General features: G+C 60.1%; 7 annotated features.

Moving 5' to 3' along the window:
• Positions 4,755-4,834: a silencer, noted in NCBI's record as "silent region_6214". NCBI's record gives its function as "represses an Ori minimal core promoter by ATAC-STARR-seq in GM12878 lymphoblastoid cells {active_cell/tissue: GM12878}" and the evidence as "EXISTENCE:reporter gene assay evidence [ECO:0000049][PMID:35858748]".
• Positions 5,262-5,762: an enhancer, noted in NCBI's record as "H3K4me1 hESC enhancer chr14:105544057-105544557 (GRCh37/hg19 assembly coordinates)". NCBI's record gives its function as "activates a minimal SCP1, AML or CMV promoter by ChIP-STARR-seq in naive H9 embryonic stem cells {active_cell/tissue: H9 hESC(naive)}" and the evidence as "EXISTENCE:reporter gene assay evidence [ECO:0000049][PMID:30033119]".
• Positions 6,123-7,073: an enhancer, noted in NCBI's record as "NANOG-H3K27ac hESC enhancer chr14:105544918-105545868 (GRCh37/hg19 assembly coordinates)". NCBI's record gives its function as "activates a minimal SCP1, AML or CMV promoter by ChIP-STARR-seq in primed H9 embryonic stem cells {active_cell/tissue: H9 hESC(primed)}" and the evidence as "EXISTENCE:reporter gene assay evidence [ECO:0000049][PMID:30033119]".
• Positions 14,319-14,588: a silencer, noted in NCBI's record as "silent region_6215". NCBI's record gives its function as "represses an Ori minimal core promoter by ATAC-STARR-seq in GM12878 lymphoblastoid cells {active_cell/tissue: GM12878}" and the evidence as "EXISTENCE:reporter gene assay evidence [ECO:0000049][PMID:35858748]".
• Positions 15,099-15,428: a silencer, noted in NCBI's record as "silent region_6216". NCBI's record gives its function as "represses an Ori minimal core promoter by ATAC-STARR-seq in GM12878 lymphoblastoid cells {active_cell/tissue: GM12878}" and the evidence as "EXISTENCE:reporter gene assay evidence [ECO:0000049][PMID:35858748]".
• Positions 18,124-18,293: a silencer, noted in NCBI's record as "silent region_6217". NCBI's record gives its function as "represses an Ori minimal core promoter by ATAC-STARR-seq in GM12878 lymphoblastoid cells {active_cell/tissue: GM12878}" and the evidence as "EXISTENCE:reporter gene assay evidence [ECO:0000049][PMID:35858748]".
• Positions 20,738-20,997: a silencer, noted in NCBI's record as "silent region_6218". NCBI's record gives its function as "represses an Ori minimal core promoter by ATAC-STARR-seq in GM12878 lymphoblastoid cells {active_cell/tissue: GM12878}" and the evidence as "EXISTENCE:reporter gene assay evidence [ECO:0000049][PMID:35858748]".

Consider the following 21,168-nt stretch of genomic DNA (forward strand, 5'->3'; position numbering starts at 1 on the left):
AGTAGAGTTGAGAGGTTTGAGAGCAGTCATGAGGATTAACAGCAGATACCAGGAGGCTGCTCGCTGGTCCTGTCAACACGGCCATGTAGTCAGGATGCCAGCTCCCCCACCAAGTCAACTTTGGGGAGCTTGGCAGAGCCGTGACTCCAGGAGGCATCCCTGGACTCTCGAAGCCCCCTGCTGTGTGTGTGTCAGGGGGCTCTGAGCCCAGTGAGTGGCTGTCCCTGGGGCAGGCAGGGGGCACTTGAGGTGCCACAGAGGACACGGACCGTAGGAACCACGAGAGGGGCGGATGGCCCAGAGCCAGGGTGTGGATGACTGCCCTGGGCAGCTGGGGTCGGGAGGCAGCCTTTTCACTTCAATGAGAATGGTGTGCAGCTGGGATGGGACAGCCTCTCAGAAGGAGAGAAGGGACGTAACAGAAAGGTATGGTGGGGACACCAGAAAGCAGAGGTGCGGACAGGGCACTCCCTTGCTCTCACACCTGTGGGATCATCCCATCCCTGGCCGGCTCCAGCTCTGCCCACATTTCTCATTCCTCCTTTGGGTCTCATCAGAGTCCCCGCATCCCGCAGGAAGTGCCCCCACAGGCAGGCCTGGGTGGAGCTGGGTAGTCTTCCTCTGTGTCCCCCTCACCGCCCCCGCTTCCCAGCTCCAAGCAGGAGGCTATGTCCCTGCCGCCTCTGCCCCTACAAATGGACGGTTGCCAGCTGAAGGAATGAGCCCAATCCCGGCTCCTGCTCCCTGCCCGTGGGATCTGGGCAAGCTGCCGGACACTTTGGGCCTCAGTTTCCCCCTTACAATGTCTGCCTTTTTGTGGGGTCCTTGGGAGCTCCCTGTTGTTGGTTACACCAGTGGAGTGGACAGAGGCTCAGCCTAAGGGTGTTTCCAGAAAGGCCATCTGCTGGAGGGGGGCTGGGAGCATCCCTGGAGACAGAGAGCTTTAGACTAGCTGCTGGGGTGGGTGCGGTGGTGGGAGTGGAGCTGCTGGGGGCAGAAAAAGGGGCTTCCAAGGGGCATGCGGGTTCTGGCAAGCTGAATCCCTCACCGTAAACCATGCACCTGTCCAAGTGAAGAACTGCTCCAGGGCTCGCCTGGGCCAAGAAGGGGCTGCAGGGCACCCTACGAGGCCATGGTGGCTAAAGATAGGCTGAGCAAGCCAAGGGCCCTAAGCCGGCAGCCAAGGGTGGCCTGGGGGCTGCAGTGGGGGCCTGGGGGCTGCAGAGCCGGCCCCCAGCCTCTCTCCACCTCTGGCCTCTCAGCTCCCTGAGGGTGGTGTCCACGGCCAGCTGCTCTCCCCTCAGGGTGGAAGACCTGGGGAAGCCCCCAGTCTCAAGCTACAGCCTTGATTTCTGGAACAATCCCAGGACAGGACTCTGGCCCATCAGGTTCTGCAGCCCACCCTGGGCAGAGTGGCTCCTCTTCTGGGCAGCCCATACCTAGTGTGGTCGAGGCTGGGTTGCCCAGGCCTGGCCAGACGAATCTGGGTCCTTGTGTCCAGCTGGGCCTCGGAGCCTGCCACGCCCCCGGCACCACCACCCCCCTAATAAACTCCCCTTCCTCTACCTGTTTCCTCCACCAGCCTCTGGGTCTTGCTCCCTGCCAGGGTCCAACTCACAGCCACCTCCGCCACTGCTCCCGCGGTGACCATGCGTCCACGGCCCCCCAGGACCATGCTTGTCATTCTCTTGCCCTCTCTGCTTGGCGCGGGGTTTGGCTGCAGTCTGGGCTGCTCGATGCTCCCGGGGCAGGGGCTATTCCCCTGTGGTCTCAAGCTCTGGGCTGGCAGGGGATGCTCCGAGAACCCATCTGTTACCTGGAGGGTCCAGGAGAGATTGAAGCAGGTCCCTGGGGGCTTCCCAGAGCTGGGCTCCTGGCTGTCCCCTCTCTGGGGACTGTCACTCCCAGCTCTCCTCTCTAGGAACTGGTGGGGAGGAAGACCCTGCAGCAGTGGGAGGCCAAGGTTGGGGGGTCCACCCTCAGTGTGGGGTGTGGGTGGCTCTCTGGGGTAAGGGCTTGGTATCATGTGGCCCCCTGAACCCCAGAGCTGGCCCCTGAAAATTCTCCTCAACCGCAGAGTACACCCCTCCACCTGCAGCTCAGGGCCCCTGCCCCGAAGCTCACCCTCCTCAGAGACCCTCCCCTGGGGCCCCAAGGAAGGGCTGGGCCTGGTGGGGGCTGCATCCTTCTCATTGCCCTTCACAGCGTGGGGGGCTGATCCCCTTTGGAATGCACTTCCCTAGGGAACCCGCCTCGAGCCTGGCTGTCCCCCCAACCCCTGTGGAGCTGGGCCTTGGGGCGTGTCCACTCGCCCTGTATCTGCTCCTGCCCCCGGCGGTCCCTGGTCTCCACTGACCATCCTTTTTCGTCCCTGGGGGGGTAGCAGCAGCAGGCAAACCCCGGCCGAACAGTCCCTGTGACACTCCTTGAGGGCCTGGAGCCAGCTGGAGCCAACAGGTGCCACATCCAGGGCCAGCTTCCAGGACTCAGGAAGGAGCGACGTGCAGCCGGCTGCGGTGGCTAGGTGGGGCCAGGGATGCTGCTGAACGTCCCACCACACCCAGGAGCCATCTGCCCAGGCACAGCTCTTCTGTGAAGTACCTGCTGGGTGCCAGGTCTGGGCGGGGACCCACAGAGTCTCCACAGGTGGGGGACTTACCCTCCTCATGGCCCTGGGCCTCCTTTGCAGCCCCGCTGCCCCGAGCTCCCCCAGACCCTCCCTCCCACCCCCACAGCCCCTGCCCCGAGCTCCCCCAGACCCTCCCTCCCACCCCCACAGCCCCTGCCCCGAGCTCCCCCAGACCCTCCCTCCCACCCCCACAGCCCCTGCCCCGAGCTCCCCCAGACCCTCTCCCACCCCCACAGCCCCTGCCCCGAGCTCCCCCAGACCCTCCCTCCCACCCCCACAGCCCCTGCCAAGCCCTCAGGGCCTATTCTCAGCCGCTTTTAGGAACTGCTTGTTTTGCCCTAATGGTGCTTTGAGACAGGAAAGGCCCAAGATAAGGGCCACCCCCCAGGCCTCAGGGCGGGGGATAGGGATGGGGCGGGGCAGCGGAGGGAGCAGACTGCTCCCCACAGGCCCTCTGCGGATCAGCAGAAGTGCAGCTGCTTCCCCTGCCCCCATCCAGGCCAGCAGGAGCTCAGCACGGAAACCCTTATGGGGGAACCCGGCCCAGTGGCTCCCAACAGGCACCTCCCCTTCCCCGTGCCAGTGAGGGGGGGGTCCAGTGTCCCCCGTTCCACAGAGGGGACAGTTAGGGTCTCTGGAGACATCTTTGGACTTCACGGCAGGGAGGGGTGCCACTGGCTTCTAGTGGGTGGAGACCAAGGAAGCTGGAAAATGTCCTGCAACACACAGGACAGCCCCTCCCGCCACCACAAAGAAGTTTCCAGCCCCAAATGTCCAGGCAAGAAGTCCTGGTAGCCTTCGGGCAGCCAGGGGAAAGCTCAGAGCTGTCCTGTTTTAGAATCATTGTTCCGACGCCCCCACGGGAGGGCTGGCGGCTGGGAGGGTGGCTGGGAGACGGCTAGTGCCAGGAGGCCACGCGATAGAGGGGCAGCCCTTGCGTCCCTGCCAGTGTCCTTCAGCCCGGGGGAAGCCCCTAAAGGTGCAGTGTCCAGGTTGGCAGCTGAGGCCAGGACAGCAACCCAGACACCACTGGGGAGACAGCAACCCCAGGTGGAAAGCACCCTGGCTGATGCCAGCGCTCAGCACCCATGCTGGAAACATTTTGGTTCCCTCTGCAGGCTGTCGGGGTTCCAGCCAAGCTCAGCTGCCAGGGGTCTGGTTAACAATCCAGGGTCAGGGACCCAAGGCTTCTGGGCTGCGGGACCCCTCACTGTCACTAATAAAGGAGGGCCAGTGGAGTCGGGGCTGACCCCACAGAAACTGGGGGTTTCTGGCAGACAGACCTGCAGGCCCGCGGCACGCCCCACCCCGGGCAGCTTCTGAGGTGGGGGAGCTCTCTGCCTCCAAGGACCCACAGTCCTGGGAGGGGGCTCCTCCCGTCAGCAGGCCCTGGAGAAAGGCCACCATCACCACCCTGGGCATGCGGGCCAGGCCCAAATCCTGGAGCAGGACGGGAAGCTTTGCAGAGGGGCTGGGCTTGAGCGGAGCCCGCTGAGGCAGGCCAGGGCATCCCGGGCCGAGGGGACAGTGAGGGCAAAAGCAGGGAGGGGTGAGGGGTGACGCAGAGTGGGCAAGGCCATGGGCCAAGGAGGCTGGGCCAGGAGACGGAGGGCAGGGGAGCAGGAGGGCTCAGGGCTGTCCGTGGGAGAGGAGGACTGGGGGAGTGGACATCCCCAAGCCACAGCCACCCTCAGGCTGTGGGAGAGGCGAGGCCTAGAGGACATCCAGCCTGAAGGCACTGCACAGGACATCGAGAGGGCTCAGAGGATCCTAGGGCCTAAGGGCTAAGAGGCCACGTGAGGCTGGCAGGGCAGAGTTGCCCGCCCACGGCGGGGGAGGATGAGGGGCAGGCCAGAGGGCGGGTGGGGGGCATTTACCAGGTGCTCAGAGTTGGTGGAGTCCGGGCAGGAGCTGGAGGGCTGAGGAACAGCCTGTGCATGTGAACACGGGCATGCCAGTATGTGTATACGTGTGTGTGTGAGAATGCACACACGTGTGTGCGTGTGAAAGGAGTTCTGCTGCACGGCTCTGACCGGCCCGCGGCAGGGCAGTGGAGGGCACTCCTTTGCCTCACAGAAAATGCAGGAGGTTGGGGGGGTGCTCCACTTCCTGCCCCCTCACCTACAGACTCCACAGCCTTGGCCTGTGTCCCCTGCTCAGGGGTGTGACTTCCTTCCGGGGTGGAGGAACCCAACACCCGCCTGGACAGGGCCTCACCCCCAAAGCTGCATCTTCTAGCCCCCTCACCCCAAAGCCACACCTTCCAGCCCTGCTCGTGCTGGCACCCATCCACTGCCTCACCCACCTGAGAGATCTCATCTTTACACACATGCACACTCAACACACAGGTGCACACACACAGGTGCACACACACACTCTCACACAGGTGCACACACACTCTCTCACATACACAGGTGCACACACACACACACACAGGTGCACACACACTCTCACATACACAGGTGCACACACACTCAGACACAGGTGCACACACAGGCATGCATTTGCATATGTGTGTTCAGACACACACTCACACAGGGACACACACACAAACCCCCACACATGGCTCCAGGCCAGCCAGGAGCATGGGTGGCCACAGGCCCGGACCCCTGGGCCATCTTACTGCTGTGAGACCCCAAGCAGGCTGCCTCAAGTCTCTGGGCTGGGCTCCCTCAGGGCAAGACGGGGGTGTGGACCGGACCCACGGGGCCCGATGCCATGTGCAAACTGCTCAGAGGTCCTGGGGGCATCTTCCCAGCTGCAGCTGTGGGCTCCAGCTCTGGCCTGGGCACAAGGCTTGCCTCGGCCTCAGCCAGGCAGCTCCTGTCAATCCTCCACCTTCAGAGAGAGCAGTTCCATCGTCAGCAGAGCCCCTTCCTTCGGCTTTGAGGCAGGCAGGCTCTGAGGTTGCTGTCCTCTGGCCTCTGTGACTTCACTCGAAAAACGGGTCCTTCCAGCCCAAAATGTCTGCATGGGAAGATTATCTTTTCTTAGAATTGCTTTTTTTTTTTTTTTGCATAAAAAAATCTTAATATACATATCCAAAAAATGCACTGTCTGGTGTTCAGTTCTACAGGTTTTGACAAATGCACAATCACGTCATCCACTCCCACAGTCACGATTCAGAACAGTCTCGTCACCCTCAAATCCCCCTGTGCTGCCCCCATCCCCAACCCCTGCAACCACCAATCTATTTTCCTTCTCTCTAGCTTTGCTTTTTCTGGAATGTCATATTAATGTAATTAATCAATCAACCAATATGCAGTTTAGTCAATGCATTTAATTAATGCAATTAATCAATTAATATGCACAATAATGCTTATTAGTACAGATAGTAACCTTTTGAATCTGGTTTCTTTCACAAAGAAAAATGCATTGGAGACTCATGCATGACATTTGAATTGATGGCCTCTTCCTTTTTGTTGCTGAATAGTATTCCATTCCACCCATGGGCTGCAGGTTTGATCTACTCACCGACTGAAGAACAGTGGATTTGCTTCCAGTTTTGTTTTTTTTTTGTTTTTTTTTTTTTTATTGATAATTCTTGGGTGTTTCTCACAGAGGGGGATTTGGCAGGGTCATGGGACAATAGTGGAGGGAAGGTCAGCAGATAAACAAGTGAACAAAGGTCTCTGGTTTTCCTAGGCAGAGGACCCTGCGGCCTTCCGCAGTGTTTGTCTCCCTGATTACTTGAGATTAGGGAGTGGTGATGACTCTTAACGAGCATGCTGCCTTCAAGCATCTGTTTAACAAAGCACATCTTGCACCACCCTTAATCCATTTAACCCTGAGTGGACACAGCACACGTTTCAGAGAGCACAGGGTTGGGGGTAAGGTCACAGATCAACAGGATCCCAAGGCAGAAGAATTTTTCTTAGTACAGAACAAAATGAAGTCTCCCATGTCTACTTCTTTCTACACAGACACGGCAACCATCCGATTTCTCAATCTTTTCCCCACCTTTCCCCCCTTTCTATTCCACAAAACCACCATTGTTATCATGGCCCGTTCTCAATGAGCTGTTGGGCACACCTCCCAGACGGGGTGGTGGCCGGGCAGAGGGGCTCCTCACTTCCCAGTAGGGGCGGCCAGGCAGAGGCGCCCCTCACCTCCCGGACGGGGCGGCTGGCCGGGCGGGGGGCTGACCCCCCCACCTCCCTCCCGGACGGGGCGGCTGCCGGGCGGAGACGCTCCTCACTTCCCAGACGGGGTGGCTGCCGGGCGGAGGGGCTCCTCACTTCTCAGACGGGGCGGCCGGGCAGAGACGCTCCTCACCTCCCAGACGGGGTCGCGGCCGGGCAGAGGCGCTCCTCACATCCCAGATGGGGCGGCGGGGCAGAGGTGCTCCCCACATCTCAGACGATGGGCGGCCGGGCAGAGACGCCCCTCACTTCCTAGATGTGATGGCGGCCGGGAAGAGGCGCTCCTCACTTCCTAGATGGGATGGCGGCTGGGCGGAGACGCTCCTCACTTTCCAGACTGGGCAGCCAGGCAGAGGGGCTCCCCACATCCCAGACGATGGGCGGCCAGGCAGAGACACTCCTCACTTCCCAGACGGGGTGGCGGCCGGGCAGAGGCTGCAATCTCAGCACTTTGGGAGGCCAAGGCAGGCGGCTGGGAGGTGTAGGTTGTAGTGAGCTGAGATCACGCTACTGCACTCCAGCCTGGGCACCATTGAGCACTGAGTGAACCAGACTCCGTCTGCAATCCCGGCACCTCGGGAGGCCGAGGCTGGCAGATCACTCGCGATTAGGAGCTGGAGACCAGCCCGGCCAACAAAGCAAAACCCCGTCTCCACCAAAACCAGTCAGGCGTGGCAGCGCGTGCCTGCAATCGCAGGCACTCGGCAGGCTGAGGCAGGAGAATCAGGCAGGGAGGTTGCAGTGAGCCTGAGCCGAGATGGCAGCAGTACAGTCCAGCTTCGGCTCCGCATGAGAGGGAGACTGTGGAAAGAGAGGGAGACCGTGGGGAGAGGGAGAGGGAGAGGGAGAGGGAGAGCTGCTTCCAGTTTTTAGTGATTATAAATAAAGCTGCTGTGAAGATTTATGTGAGTGGCATTTCTGGGTGAGAAATGGCCAATTTCTTTTCCACAACGGCTGCACCATTTTGCATTCTCACCAGCAGTAGATGAGAATTTCTCGTGCTTCACATCTGTGTCAGCATGTGGCATTGTCATTTTACTTGTGTGATTATGTTTTAGCCATTTCGTGACTGTGCGATGGGATGGCATCGTGCTTTCAATCTGCACTCGCCTAATGAGAAATTATGTTGAGCGTCTTCTCATGTGCTTATCTGCCATCTGTATACCTTCTGTGGCGCTCTGTTTGCGTGGCTGTGCAATGGGATGGCATTGCGTTTAATCTACACTCGCCTAACGAGAAATTACGTGGCGCGTCTTTTCATGTTCGTATCTGCCGTCTGTATACCTTCTGTGACTCTGTTTCTTCAGATCTTTAGCCTTTTTTTTTCCTTTCCTTTTCTCTTCCTCTCTTTTTCTTTTTTGAGACAGTCTCACTCTGTCTCCCGGGCTGGAATGCAGTAGTGCAATCATAGCTCACTGTAACCTGCAATTCCTGGGCTTCAGCAATCCTTCCACCTCAGCCTCCCAAGAAGGTAGGACTACAGGCACATGCTACCATGCCCAGCTAATTTTTTATTTTTATTTTTGTAAAGACAGGGCCTCTCTATGTTGTCCAGGCTGGTCTTGAACTCCTGGCTTCAAGCTATCCTCCCACCGCAGCCTCCCAAAGTGCTAGGATTACAGACATAAGCCACCACACCCAGCTGTTAGCCTTTTTTTTTAAGACAGAGTTTTACTCTCGTTGCCCAGGCTGGAGTGCAATGACGTGATCTTGGCTCACTGCAACTTCTGCCTCCCGGGTTCAAGCAACTCTCCTGTCTCAGCCTCCCAAGTAGCTGGAATTACAGGCATGCGCCACCATGCCCAGCAAATTTTGTATTTTTTTTTTAGTAGAGATGGAGTTTCACCATGTTGGTCAGGCTGGTCTCGAACTCCTGACCTCAAGTGATCCGCCCACCTCGGCCTCCCAAAGTGCTGGGATTACAGGCGTGAGCCACCGCGCCCAGCATTAGCCCATTTTTAAACTGGGTTTTTTTTTTTTTTTATTGTTCAGTTCTGAATTCTTTATATATTCTGAATGGAAGTCCTTTATCTGATAAATGATCTGAAAATTTTCCACCAGTCTGTGGTAATTATTATCTTTTAAATCTGCAACTTGGCCTTTTTTTGTTCATATTATTTGTGTCTTTCCTTTCTTTGCTCCTTCTTCCCAGAACTGTTGATCCATTTTGTTGGATAATTTTTTTCGAAGAACCAATTTTTGTCTTCATTGTTCTTCTCTATTGCATCTTTGCTATTTCATTGATTTCTGATCTTATTTTTATCTCCATTTTCTCAACTTTCTGGGCTTACACTGTTTTTGCTTTTGTTTACCTCCCAACTTCCTCTTTTTAAAATTCATTTTTTAAAATTTAAGGTATAATTTACATACAGTGCAATTCACTCCTCTGGTATGCACAGTTCTGACTTGACACATGCGTTTAGCTCTGTAACCACCAGCACAACCGAACTGTAAAACATTTCCATCTCCTGGCCGGGCGCAGTGGCTCACGCCTGTAGTCCCAGCACTTTGGGAGGCCAAGGCAGGTGCATCACCTGAGGTCAGGAGTTTGAGACCAGCCTGGCCAACATGGTGAAACCCCATCCCTACTAAAAATACAAAAATTAGCCAGGCGTGGTGACGCACGCCTGTAGTCCCAGCTACTTGGAGGCTGAGCAGGAGAATCGAAATTTCGCCACTGCACTCCAGCCTGGGTGACAGAGTGAGACTCTGTCTCAAAAGAAAAAAAAAAAATTGCCATCTCCCAAAAGGTTCCCTCATGCCTCTTCACAGTCAATCCTGCCCCCTAACTTTCTGAGATGGAGACAGCTTACAAACCTTAAGATTTCTTCTTTTCACTGTAAGCATCTGTAGCAATGCTTCTGGAAGCCCCGCTTCTGTGGCCCCCCACAAGCTGGGTGTGCAATGTTTTCATGATCATCCAGTTCTGTTTGTTTATTTATTTACTGAGATGAAATCTCACTCTGTTGCCCAGGCTGGAGTGCAATGGCACGATCTCGGCTCACTGCAACCTCTGCCTCCTGGGTTCAAGTGATTCTTCTGTCTCAGCCTCCCGAGTAGCTGGGATTACAGGCATGTGCTACCACACCCGGCTAATTTTTTGTTATTTTTAGTAGAGATAGGGTTTCACCATGTGGTCAGGCTGGTCTCAAACTCTTGACCTCAAGTGATCCACCCACCTCGGCCTCCCAAAGTGCTGGGATTACAGGCATGAGCCACCACGCCCGGCCCAGTTCTGGGTTTTTAAGGTTTCTATTATGATCCCTTCTTTAGCTTATGTTATTTAGCAGTGTACATACGTGTGTGTGTGTGTGTGTGTGTGTGTGTGTGTGTGTAAAAGTCTTGTCTATAATTTCCCCAACATTGCATATTTTTAAACATATAGCAACATGAAAAGAATCACACAGTGTAACCCCACTCACCACTTGAATTCTAGTTAACAATTTACTGTACTTGTTCCTTCACACATCTCTGCATCTACCCATCCATCTCTCTATACACCCTTCCACTCCTCTATCCACCCCTTCACCCACCATCTACCCATCCATCCATCTCTATCCTTCGATCCCTCTATCCATCCATCCATCCCCCATCAACCCCCATCCCCCCCTCCAGCCATCCATCTATCCATTTCTATCCATCCTCCCCTCTATCCACCTATCCATTCCTCTATCCACCCCTCCACCCATCCCCCAGGCATCCATCCATCCACCCATCCATCCATCTCTATCCATCCTTCTATCCACCCATCCACTCCTCTCCACCCCTCCACCCATCCATCCATCTCTATCCATCCTTCTATCCACCCATCCCCTCCTCTCTCCACCCCTCCACCCACCCCTCCATCATCCATCCATCCACCCATCTCTATCCATCCTTCTATCCACCCATTCACTCCTCTCTCCACCCCTCCGCCCACCCCTCCATCATCCATCCATCCACCCATCCATCCATCTCTATCCATCCTTCTATCCACCCACCCACTCCTCTATCCACCCCTCCACCCAACCCTCCATCCTCCATCCACCCATCTCTCTATCCACACATCCATCAATCCCTCTATCTGCCCTTCCACTCCTCTATTCACCCCTCCACTCACCCCTCCATCCATCCACCCACCACTCTATCCACCCAACCGCTTCTCTATCCACCCCTCTACCCACCCCTCCATCCTCCATCCACCCGTCTATCCACCCATCTATCCCTCTATCTGCCCTTCCACTCCTCTATCCACCCCTCCACCCACCCCTCCATCCATCCACCCACCACTCTATGCACCCATCCACTTCTCTATCCACCCCTCCACCCACCCCTCCATCTTCCATCCACCATCTCTCTATCCACACATCCATCTATCCCTCTATCTGCCCTTCCACTCCTCTATCCACCCCTCCACCCACCCCTCCATCCATCCACCCACCACTCTATCCACCCATCCACTTCTCTATCCACTCCTCCACCCACCCCCCAGGCATCCATCCATCCACCCAACCAACCATCTCCATCCACCACTCTATCCACCCATCCACTCCTCTATCCACCCATCCACCCACCCCTCCATCCTCCCTCCACCCATCCATTCCTCTATCCACCCCTCCACCCTCCATCCACCCATCTCTCTATCCACCCATCCATCTATCTCTCTATCTGCCCTTCCACTCCTCTATTCACCATCCACCCATCCATCTCTATCCATTCATCCCTGTATCCACCCACCCACTCCTCTATTCATCCATCCATCCATCCTTCTATCCATTCCTGTATCCACCTCTCCATCCATCCATTTATCCACCCACCCATCCCTCTATCCATCTTTCCATTCCTCTATCTACCCCCATCCATCCATCCATCCTTCCACCCATCCACCCACCCATCCCTCTATCCAGCCTTCCACTCCTCTATCCACCCCTCCATACATCCAGCTCTATCCATCCATTCCTCTATCCATTTGTCCATCTTTTCATACATCCATATATCCATCCCTCTATCCATCCACTCACCACTGTATCCATCCACCTCTCCTCCCTTTGTTTTCCCTACAAGCCCCACGTCCTGGGGGGCTGACTCCAACTGGGGGTGCTGCTTCCAAGCCTCATGCCTTAGTGAATTGGAGACCAGCAGAGAAAGGCCTGACAGCCAGACCTAAGGGCTGCCACAGATTGCTGGTGCAGCCCACCCCCACATCCATCCACCACAGGCTGAGGACAGGGATGTCATCCTCTCCATGGGCACAGGGCTCCTCCCAGGAGCCAGCAGAGGCCAGGCTTTTCTTTGGACTGTGCAGAGTGTGCACTCCCAGGCCTGCTGAGTGACCCTTTTCCACGCAGATTCAGAGAGGGCTCACAGAGGCAGACGTCAAAGCCCAGCTTTGCAGGGTGAGTGGAGGGAGAGCTTGGAGAGGCTGAGCCCTCGATAGCTGGAACCAGAGGGGAGTGAGGGCAGGCCTTGGACATCCTTTTGTCAAAGTATACATTTTGGGTTTGGCTATGTCTAAGTTACTCTGTAATAAAAGTCATTTATTCTGCCCAGAGGTCTGTGGCAGTTCTGCCATCAAGTGATGGTGAGTCTCAGGACAGGGAGGACACAACACATCCCACCTGTCCAGTGAAGTGATGCTCAGTGGCCGGTCCCAGGGCTGGGCTTGGACGGGAGAGTGGGGACGCTTTGTCCACTAATCACTTTCTAAGTCACCACAGCCTTGGGACAGCCATACCTTGTGGTCTCTAGGGATCCTGGTGTTCTGGCCTGAGGTCTGAGGTCAAACAAGGTCTGTGCTCTCACACCAACCCTCCACTGGCAAGCAGGACCCAGGGAGGGGGTCAGGAGGCAGCTGGGTGCTCCCCTGGGACACAGGCCTGCCCTCTGCCTTCACTTCCCACAGCTGCCCAAGCCCATCATGTTCTGGGCCTCACCCTTCCACATCTGGGACCCTGAACAGCCGCCTGTGAACACCGACAGGAAGAACAGGGGAGCGTCCAGCATTGAGGCACGCGAAGAGCCCTGACCCCTGGCCCTTCCCTCCAGCTACCTGGGACAGCCTGAAACCAGCCTGAACCCAGCGAGGGAAGTCTCGGACCCTGGAGACGACCTTGTGTTCTCCCTGCGCGATGGTGAAACTCCAGGCACTGCCACAGCTTGGGAGAGGGGGTCCAGCCAGCCCTGCTCCTCCCTCCATGGAGCTGGCCCTGGGAGGGCAGACAGCTGGTAGTGCCCACTGCACTGGAGGCAGCAGCCCCTCAGACTCTGTGCCTGCAGCCCAGCCTTGGGAAACAGCATACTGGGCATGGGGCAGAGGCCCATTCAGTTCCCCGGACACTGAATAACTAATGACCCAGGCTCAGCCATTCATTAGAAATTTTCTTGATTCAGAGAAACCCCCATCACCCTCAGCCGGAAAATCTCTTGGTCCCCTGGTCACAGTGATTGAAGTACCCCCGACCACAACCACACAACAGGGAGTGATGTGGGGGAGTCCTGGGCTTCTAGAGGCTGGTTGTGGCTTCCTGCCTCAGTTTCTTTGTGGGCAAGAAGGCACCAGAGGCCTGTGACCTCCCCTGCTCTCACTGGGACTGGCCCCCATCAGGTTTATGCAGTGAGGCGCAGACCCTCAGCAACCGTGTCCTGGGCCTTCTCCATCCCCAATCCCTCCCATGTCACCTCCCGTTTCCCATTACTGCCAAGCTCCAGTGCCTGGGGCAGGAGGACAACCCATGCAGCCAGCCAGGCCATGCTGGCAGAAGCTGCTGGTGGGGGCATCTGGGCATGCTCAATGGCACCCCAAGAGCTAAAATGGACTCTAGGGGGGTGGCCAGGCCCTGGTGGGGGAGGTACACTCCCACTGCCCAGATCCAAACCCGATGGCTGGGCCCTGACCTGCAGGGTCCCAGGCTCACCAGCCCCTCCTCCTCTAACAGGCCGGTGCTCAGTTCCTCTTCCCCTCCGGAGAGACCCAGCTTCCCACAGCCTGTTTCTCTGGGGGACAATTCCCTGCAGCTTGGGAATTCTCACCGTCCCACCTCCCATTTTATCTTCTCTTCTTTCTCTCTCTCGCTCTCTTTTTTTTTTTTTTTTTTTTTTTTTGAGATGGAGTCTCACTCTGTCACCCAGGCTGGGGTGCAATGGCCCAATTTCGGCTCACTGCAACCTCTGCCTCCTGGGTTCAAATGATTCTCCCGCCTCAGCCTCCCAAGTAGCTGGGACTACAGGGACCCGCCATCATGCCCGGCTAATTTTCGTATTTTTGTAGAGACCGGGTTTCACCATGTTGGCCAGGCCAGTCTTGAACTCCTGACCTCAGGTGATCCGCCCACCTCGGCTTCCCAAAGTGCTGGGATTACAGGCGTGAGCCACCGCGCCCAGCCCACCTCCCATTTTCTTAGAAGAAACTGAGACACAAAGAGCCTGAGAAAGTTGCTTAAGGTCACACAGCCCATCAGAGGCAGGGTGCAGGGTGAGGCACAGGGACCAGAAACTTCTTCCACCTGATATCTCTGAGACAGCGGCCTCCCTGTTCCCCTCTTGCCACAGTCTCTCCAGGATAAGGTGAGGGTGTCAGGGGCCTGGGTCCCCACTTGCGACCCCACCGGGCTGCTCCTGGGACGGGCTGTGCAGGCCAGGAGACTGGCGGACCTAAGAAACTGAGACGTGTTTCTCAGCTCCCCCAACCACGTCCCCAGCCCCGCCGGTCCCGGAGCTGCCCTGCCGCCTGGTGGCTGCGGCTGCGCTGCGCCCGACCGGCCCGCGCTCCAGGGCATCCGACCTCCAGTTCCCCCGCCCGCGCCCGGGAGTGCGCCGAGAGCAGCAGAGGTCGAGACAGCAGCCCGGAGGTGGTGTTACCCGCAACCTCGGCTCCTGCGCTCGGGGCCGCTTCTCTCCTGGGTGCAGTCAGCTCTGCGCGGGGGACCCTCAGCACGCCGTCCACGGACACGGCTCCCTCGGCCACAGTCTCCTCCCCGCCATCAGACGCACTGCAGACCTGGGGCCTTTGTTTCCCAGGCAGGGAAATGGGCGTGCTGCGCCCACGGGCGCAGGGAGGACGGGGGAGCCCGCCCTGGGGGCCTGGAGGATTCGCGTGGCCTCCGCGGTCCAGAAGTACTCCTCTCCCCTAGCGATCCCCAGGATTCTCTTCCCCAGTTCCCTCCCTGGTCTAGAACCGAGACTCACAGCTCCCCACCCCTCGGTCCCGAGTTCCCTGTCCCCTCCCCCCAGGCCGGGAACCACCCAGTCCCCTCCGCGCCTCCCCAACCCCCAGCCCAGAGCATTCCTGCCCGCACCGTACCCTTCAATCTCCGCCCCCGGCCAGGAGCCTCCCTGGCCCTTCCCGCCCGGCGGGGCAGGCTCCGGGCAGGCGGGCAGCCTCGCGGCGGCGGCATCCGCGCCCACCTTCATGCCGCCGCAGGCTGGAGCGCGCCTGGGCCTGTCGAGGCCGCTGGCGGAGCAGCGGCGGGGCGGGCGGGGAGGCTGCGTCTGCGCGGCCCGGAGGAGCCCCCGCAGAGGCTGGAGCGAGCCCAGGCAGGCTGGGGCGCTGGCGCGGGGCGAGCTGGCGGGGGCGGGAGAGCTGGCCCAGCGCTGGGTTTCCTGGGTCCCAGCACGCACGCGCGCCTTAGTGGGGCGCCGGCCCGCTTCCCAGGCAGATCGCCCTTGGCCTCGCCTCTGGCTCTTTTATTTGCACAATCACCCCGAGGTGGGTGATGCTATTGTTCCCACTTTTCAGATTCGAAAGTCGAGACACAACTGGAATTCGTATCCAGGTTCCAGACACCGCCCGTCCTCGGGCAGAGGTTTGCGCAGAAACAAGCATCATTCCTGACCTTAGGGACCTCACCGAGCCTGCCTGCGGGCAGGGCAGGGAGGTGCTGAGAATTCGGGTGCACGTGCCAGCACCCGGGGCCCCAGAGCTCCCCTCCCCATGAAGCCCTCCCTCAGCCCCCTCCCTGGAGAAATGGCGAGCCATCTGGAAGGAGGTCGAGAGGGGACCCGCTCCCGCCAGGACCTCTCTTCTGGGAGTGGAGGAGTGGGCGGAGGAGAAGGGTTCCTGAGTCCCCAACCCGGTCCCAGGCCCTGGGAGCCGCCCCTCGCCCCCTCGGGAATCTAGTTCTCTTTGCCAAACCGCCAGCCCGGGCGGAGGGCTGGGGGCGGGGGCGAAGCCGAGCGCGCTGACACACGCGCCTGGAATTCCCAGGAGAGCCGGCCGCGGCCTGTGACCTCTTCTGCTCTTGGCCGGCCCCAGCCAGCGGGGCCGAGGGGAGGACAGGCTCCCTCCACGGGGGTGGGGCGCACACCCACCTCGTTCCTCCTGCTGGAGCCCGCCCTGTCCGTGTCCCTCCCCCTCCCAGGCAGCCTGCCTGGAGGTAGCAGTACCCTCTGTGCTCCGGACCCAGGCAGATGTGAACTCCCCTCACTCCACAACCACCAGAGACAGCCCGGGGCAGACCCTGTCCAGCTCCTGCCCCAGGGCCTTGAGCACATTACCAAATGCTCTGTGCCTGTTTCCCCATCTCTGCAAAGGGTGCTAACGGCCATCTCAGAATGGCTCGTTGAGATTCAAAGTGTCTTGTAAATGGTTGTTACAATTGCATGGAAGGTAAACTGAGGCCCAGAGGCCCCAACACCACAGAGCCACGTCTACTCACCAGCCCCCAGCCCCCACCACTCCCCGCACAGTGTCCTCCATCATGCTGTGGGTTTTGGAGGTTCAGAGGGCACCCAGCTGGGAGCTCGAGGCAGGCTGAGCTGTACACAGTGGTGTGAATGGGCGTGCATGTCATGCAAGGCAGTGTGCTGTGTGCCCTCCACGTGTGAAGGTGTGTGCCTGTGTGTGAGTGCTGGTGTGAACATGTGTGTGTACCCTGTGCTCATGCAAGTGTGCATCGTGTGTATGCTGGAAGCAGTGTGTGCGCGCACGCATACTCTGGGCAATCCACTCCTCGGGTGTGGTGTTGTGTAAACAGTGGAGGTCTCAGATGCCAGTCCCTGGGGACACTGGGCCCCCGCCCCAGGTTTGGCTGGCCCAGCTTGTCCCCTCCCCTGATCAGCCCTTGCCAAGGAGTGCTTTGCCATCTGGGGGCTAGAGGGAGTTGTGGTGGGTTCAGCGCCCTGCAAGGGCAGGCCTGTGCCCTGAGAGCAGATGGTCCCCGGCTTACCCTCCAGGCCAAGAAGTCCCCCAGCTCAGGTGACAGCAGAGCCCAGGAAGGAGGGCCAGCCAGGTCAGCCAACCCCAGGGAACCCCCCACCCCGACGGCGCTGGGCACTCAGGATGGGGGACTCCGCAGAAGCCTTAAGGACTGACAGTCCAGGGAGCTGGGGTCCTGCCGTGCAGACACACTGGGGGACCCAGGTCTGCAGGGACTCGCTGCAGAACCAGGAGTCCCAGGGCACACGAGCCTCCCTGCCCAGGTTGCTGGCAAGCCCCTGGGGTGAGTGGGGGCCCAGCTGCCCCGCCCTGAGCAGGCTCAAGCCCGCTTCCCAGATCCCCCCTGAACCCACTGCCCGCGAAGCAGGGTAGGAGATGGAGCAGGGGACCACAAACTCACAAACTGAGACCTGTCCCTTCACCCTGGGCCCAGAGACCAGGCAGACCACTTCCCACCCAGACCCAGAGCCCAGAGGGGTCTCATGGGCTGGCCCACCCCACCACATCCCCGTATGGCCTCCGCCCTGACAGCTCCCGAAGGCCAGGGATGCTCCCTCCCCTGGTGTGGGGGGCTGGGATGGGTGAGCCAGGGCCCCCACCCACCCCTAGCCTTGTCGCTCCTGCCGCAGGTTCCTCAGCACCTGCCCATCACAGCCTGCTGACTGACAAGGACCCCATGCTGCAGGAGGCAAGCTGGGGCCCAGGAGGGACCGCAGCCCCGGGAGGCTCCTCATTCATTCACATCTCCACCAAAGAAGCCCCACGGCTGCCCAGTGCCAGACCTGGCCTGATGCCTGGATGGCTGCCACTGGGATGATCAGGGTCAAGTAGTGTGGGCCTTTGAGCATCCTGGAGAGGGCGGGGAGGCCTCTAGAGGCACCCAGGGTGCAGGTCTGAAGAGGGATGGGCTCAGCTGGCCAACACACGGACACCTTGGGCCTGGCCTCCACTTCTCCCAGCCTGGCTGCCCACACTCCCCACCCTAGCAGCGGGCAGTGTCTGGCGCACCAGTCCTGCTCCCCCTGCTGCCATCCTCCGGGGGATGGTGTCCTTGGGCCCTAATGGGCTTCAACTGCCCATGGAAGCCCTGCCAAGGTCCCGACTTGCAGCCTCCTGGCGGGACCAATGTCCTCTCCAGGCCCTTCCTGCATGGACCAGCCCCCAGGGGCATTGCTCCAAGCCAGCAGCCCCTCTGCCCTGGCCTGCAGCCCTCCCAGCGCCTGCTCCAGGCTTGACCTCTCCCTCACCTTCTCCTCCTTCAGCTCCTATCACCCAAGGGCACAGAAAGGCACTGTCGCACCACCAGGGGGCGCCCTGCCTCAGGGGCGGGCTTAGGACACAGCAGTGCTGCTTATCTGGGAGCCCAGGGGCTGGGGACAGAAGAGGCTAACTGACCTCTGGCTGGTACCTTCCGGGCTTCAGGACAACTCAGCCAGGTGGTCACTGTGGGCCCACTCCCCAGATGAGGAAACAGGCCAGAGAGGAGGATGCCACCGGCCCTGGCTCTTGGGAGTGGGAGGTCTGTGTCTCCAGGATTCCTCCAAGCCACCAATTTGGGAAAGTCATCTGACCTCTCTGGGCTTCCGTTTCCCCACCTGTACAGTGGGGGTGGGAAGGCATCACTGCTGGGGCTGAGCATGGGACTACAGGACAGAGCTTGGGGCCCTGGCTCCAGCAGGCTGGTCTCCAGCCCCTGGGAGCAGGGACCCACCCCACCCAGCACAGGTGCCTAAAGGCTGTTGTCTCCGCCAGCAGGTGACCCTGCACCCATGGGTGGGGGTCCACAGGGCCAACTCAGCCCTGCACCTGCCAGCTGAGGACAAACTCTCCTGGGGAGCTTTTGGGCTGTGGCCAGAACAAGCGAGGCTGCCTTTGAGCGGCTGCCTTTCTGCTTTCTGCTGTGTGCGTGTGTGAGCATATCTGTGTGTGCCAGGGGCCTGGGCTCGGTGTGACCCCTAGCAGGTATGCCCCAGCTGTCAACACCCTCTCCCTCCTGTGGTCCCCACTGGCCCCAGATGGAGGCCGAGTCCCCCAGCCCAGAGCGCCCCGGGGGTCGGGAGTGCCCACTGCTTTGAGCCACAGAAACCCAGGCCCCAACCTCCTCAGGACCCCCAGGCCTCCTGGGCCACCAGGATGCAAACCCCACCTCCAGGCAAGGTGGAAGCCCATTTGGCAGCTGAGGCCCTGGTGCCTGAGGCCATCAAGGGAGGTCAGAAGGGACAAAGGCCACGGCTCGGCCGAGAGGAGGGTGCCGTCCGCTCTGCTCAGGCACTGGGCCGGGTGCCAGCAGCACCACGTTCCCACGCTCTATGGTGCCAATCTTGGCACCCCAGCCCTGCCCCACCCTTGCCTTGCAGGGACCAGGGCACCGGGAATGTGGCTGTGGATTCCGCCCCCTGGGGCCACGGATTCCTGTCTCAGTGGGCGGGGGTGGAGGACGGCTTTCCACCCTTTGATCCTTGCCAGTTCCAGGGAGCGAGGCCACGCCCAGGCCCTGCCAGCCAGGCCACAGGGGAGGCCAGGAGGCAGGCCCAGGCGAGACAGAGCTGACTCCCTCAGCTCAGGAACCCCAGCTCCCAGGGCCTGGGCCTGCTCCCCAGGTGCCCCAGAAGCTCCTGCCTCACCTCTTGCCAGCTGGGCACGGGGCCTGGTGCCCAGACTAATCGGGCAGAGACCAGCACTGGGCAATGGCCCAGTCCCCACCTTCAGCCTGTGATGGCCACAGCAACCCCTTCCCTCACCTCCCCAGTCTGCCACAGGGCACAGAGTCCCAGCCCCTCTCCGCCAGCCTGGCCTCACATGCTCACCCTCCTGCCCTAGCACCCCCCATTCGGCAGCCACAACTGCCCCACCCAGAGACTCCTGGGCGCCTGGTGCTGTTCAGGACACTGGCCTGCTCAGCATCAAGACAGATCCCAGAATGTCCTGGGCTTCTGACCACAAAGGAGCCAGCATAGGCTAAAGCCTGGCACGCGGCTCAGAACCCTCAACCCTATGTGCTTGTTTCCTGCTCCCCCAGCCTCTGGAGCCGGCTGACAGCTACCCCCTCAGTACACCTTCATGCGTCCCCGACCCCTGTTCAAGCACCACTGAGCACCCCAACCAGTGGACAAGGGGACAAGGGGTCCCACAGGAAACAGGACCACCCTCTGAGCCTGGGGGAGGGGAGAGCAATCTCAAAATCCCACGTGGGAGGGGCCCAGGGCCAGGAGTCCAGATAAAGGAGGGGCCCAAGGAAGGATCTCGCCCGGGCTCCTGAGAGGCAGGAGGATGGCTCCACTCTGCCAGCCGTCCTGATCTGCTAAGTGGAAATTACAGTCATTAGCGTCCCCTCCCAGAGGCCCGTGGTGCCCTGTGGGCCTGGAACTTGCCCCACCCCCTCTGCCACATATGGCCCAGGGAGAAGGCGCTAAAGGTGAGCGCCGGCTGCAGGGCGGAGGACTCTGGCCTCTGCGGGGCCGAGCCACGGAGCCACCTGGCTTGCGGGGATCCCTGGGACCCAGCCTTGTTCTACTGCCCACTTGACGCGGCGGGCACCCTCCTTCCTGGTGGGTCCTTACTCCCAACCCTGGCCTGGCCATGGGATTGCCAGGGTCTGGTGGGGGGGGGGTCCCTTTCCAATGGGGCGCCTTCCTATGCAGACAGAGGAGAGGGGAGTGGTCAGGCTGGGTCCTCAAGGTGCCCAGACAGGGGTGCGAGGAGGCAAGTGCTCACCGGAGCAGCCAGGAACGCTCCCTGGAGGAGGGGGCCCGGAAGCTCCCTGGCTGCAAGAGTGGATTCCTGAGCAAAAGCTCCGCGGGTGGAGAAAGAGAGTATGGCGGGGGCCACGGGGGTCCGAGTCCCGACACGCGGCTGCGCACTCGCTCCCCTGCACCGCGGGCGGGGCTGGGGCCGGAAACGCGCGCGGCGGCCTCGGATTCCTGCGCGGTGGGACAAGCCCGCGCCTGCGCGCCGCCCGGACAGGGCACGTCGCCCGCGAGGGGGGTGGCGGGCCCAGGAGGAGGGGACCCCGACAGCCCCTCACCGCCTGCCGGGGCGGGCCGCCACGCTGGACGGGGGCAGCGCGGGGCGGGGTCGGGGGGCGGCAGAAGGCGCCTTTGTGCGTCGCGTCCCCGAGCGTGTCGCGGCGGGCCCGGCACCGGCCCCGCTCCAGCGCCCGCCCCCGGCCCGCGCCCCGGGCCCCGCGCGCATACCTGGCGAGGCCACGAGGGGATTCTGCGGGCCGAGCCCCGCCTGGGCTGCGCCGCCGCAGGCGGGAGAGGCTG

Source organism: Homo sapiens, chromosome 14 (genome assembly GCF_000001405.40).
Source record: "Homo sapiens chromosome 14, GRCh38.p14 Primary Assembly".
Lineage (NCBI taxonomy): Eukaryota > Metazoa > Chordata > Mammalia > Primates > Hominidae > Homo > Homo sapiens.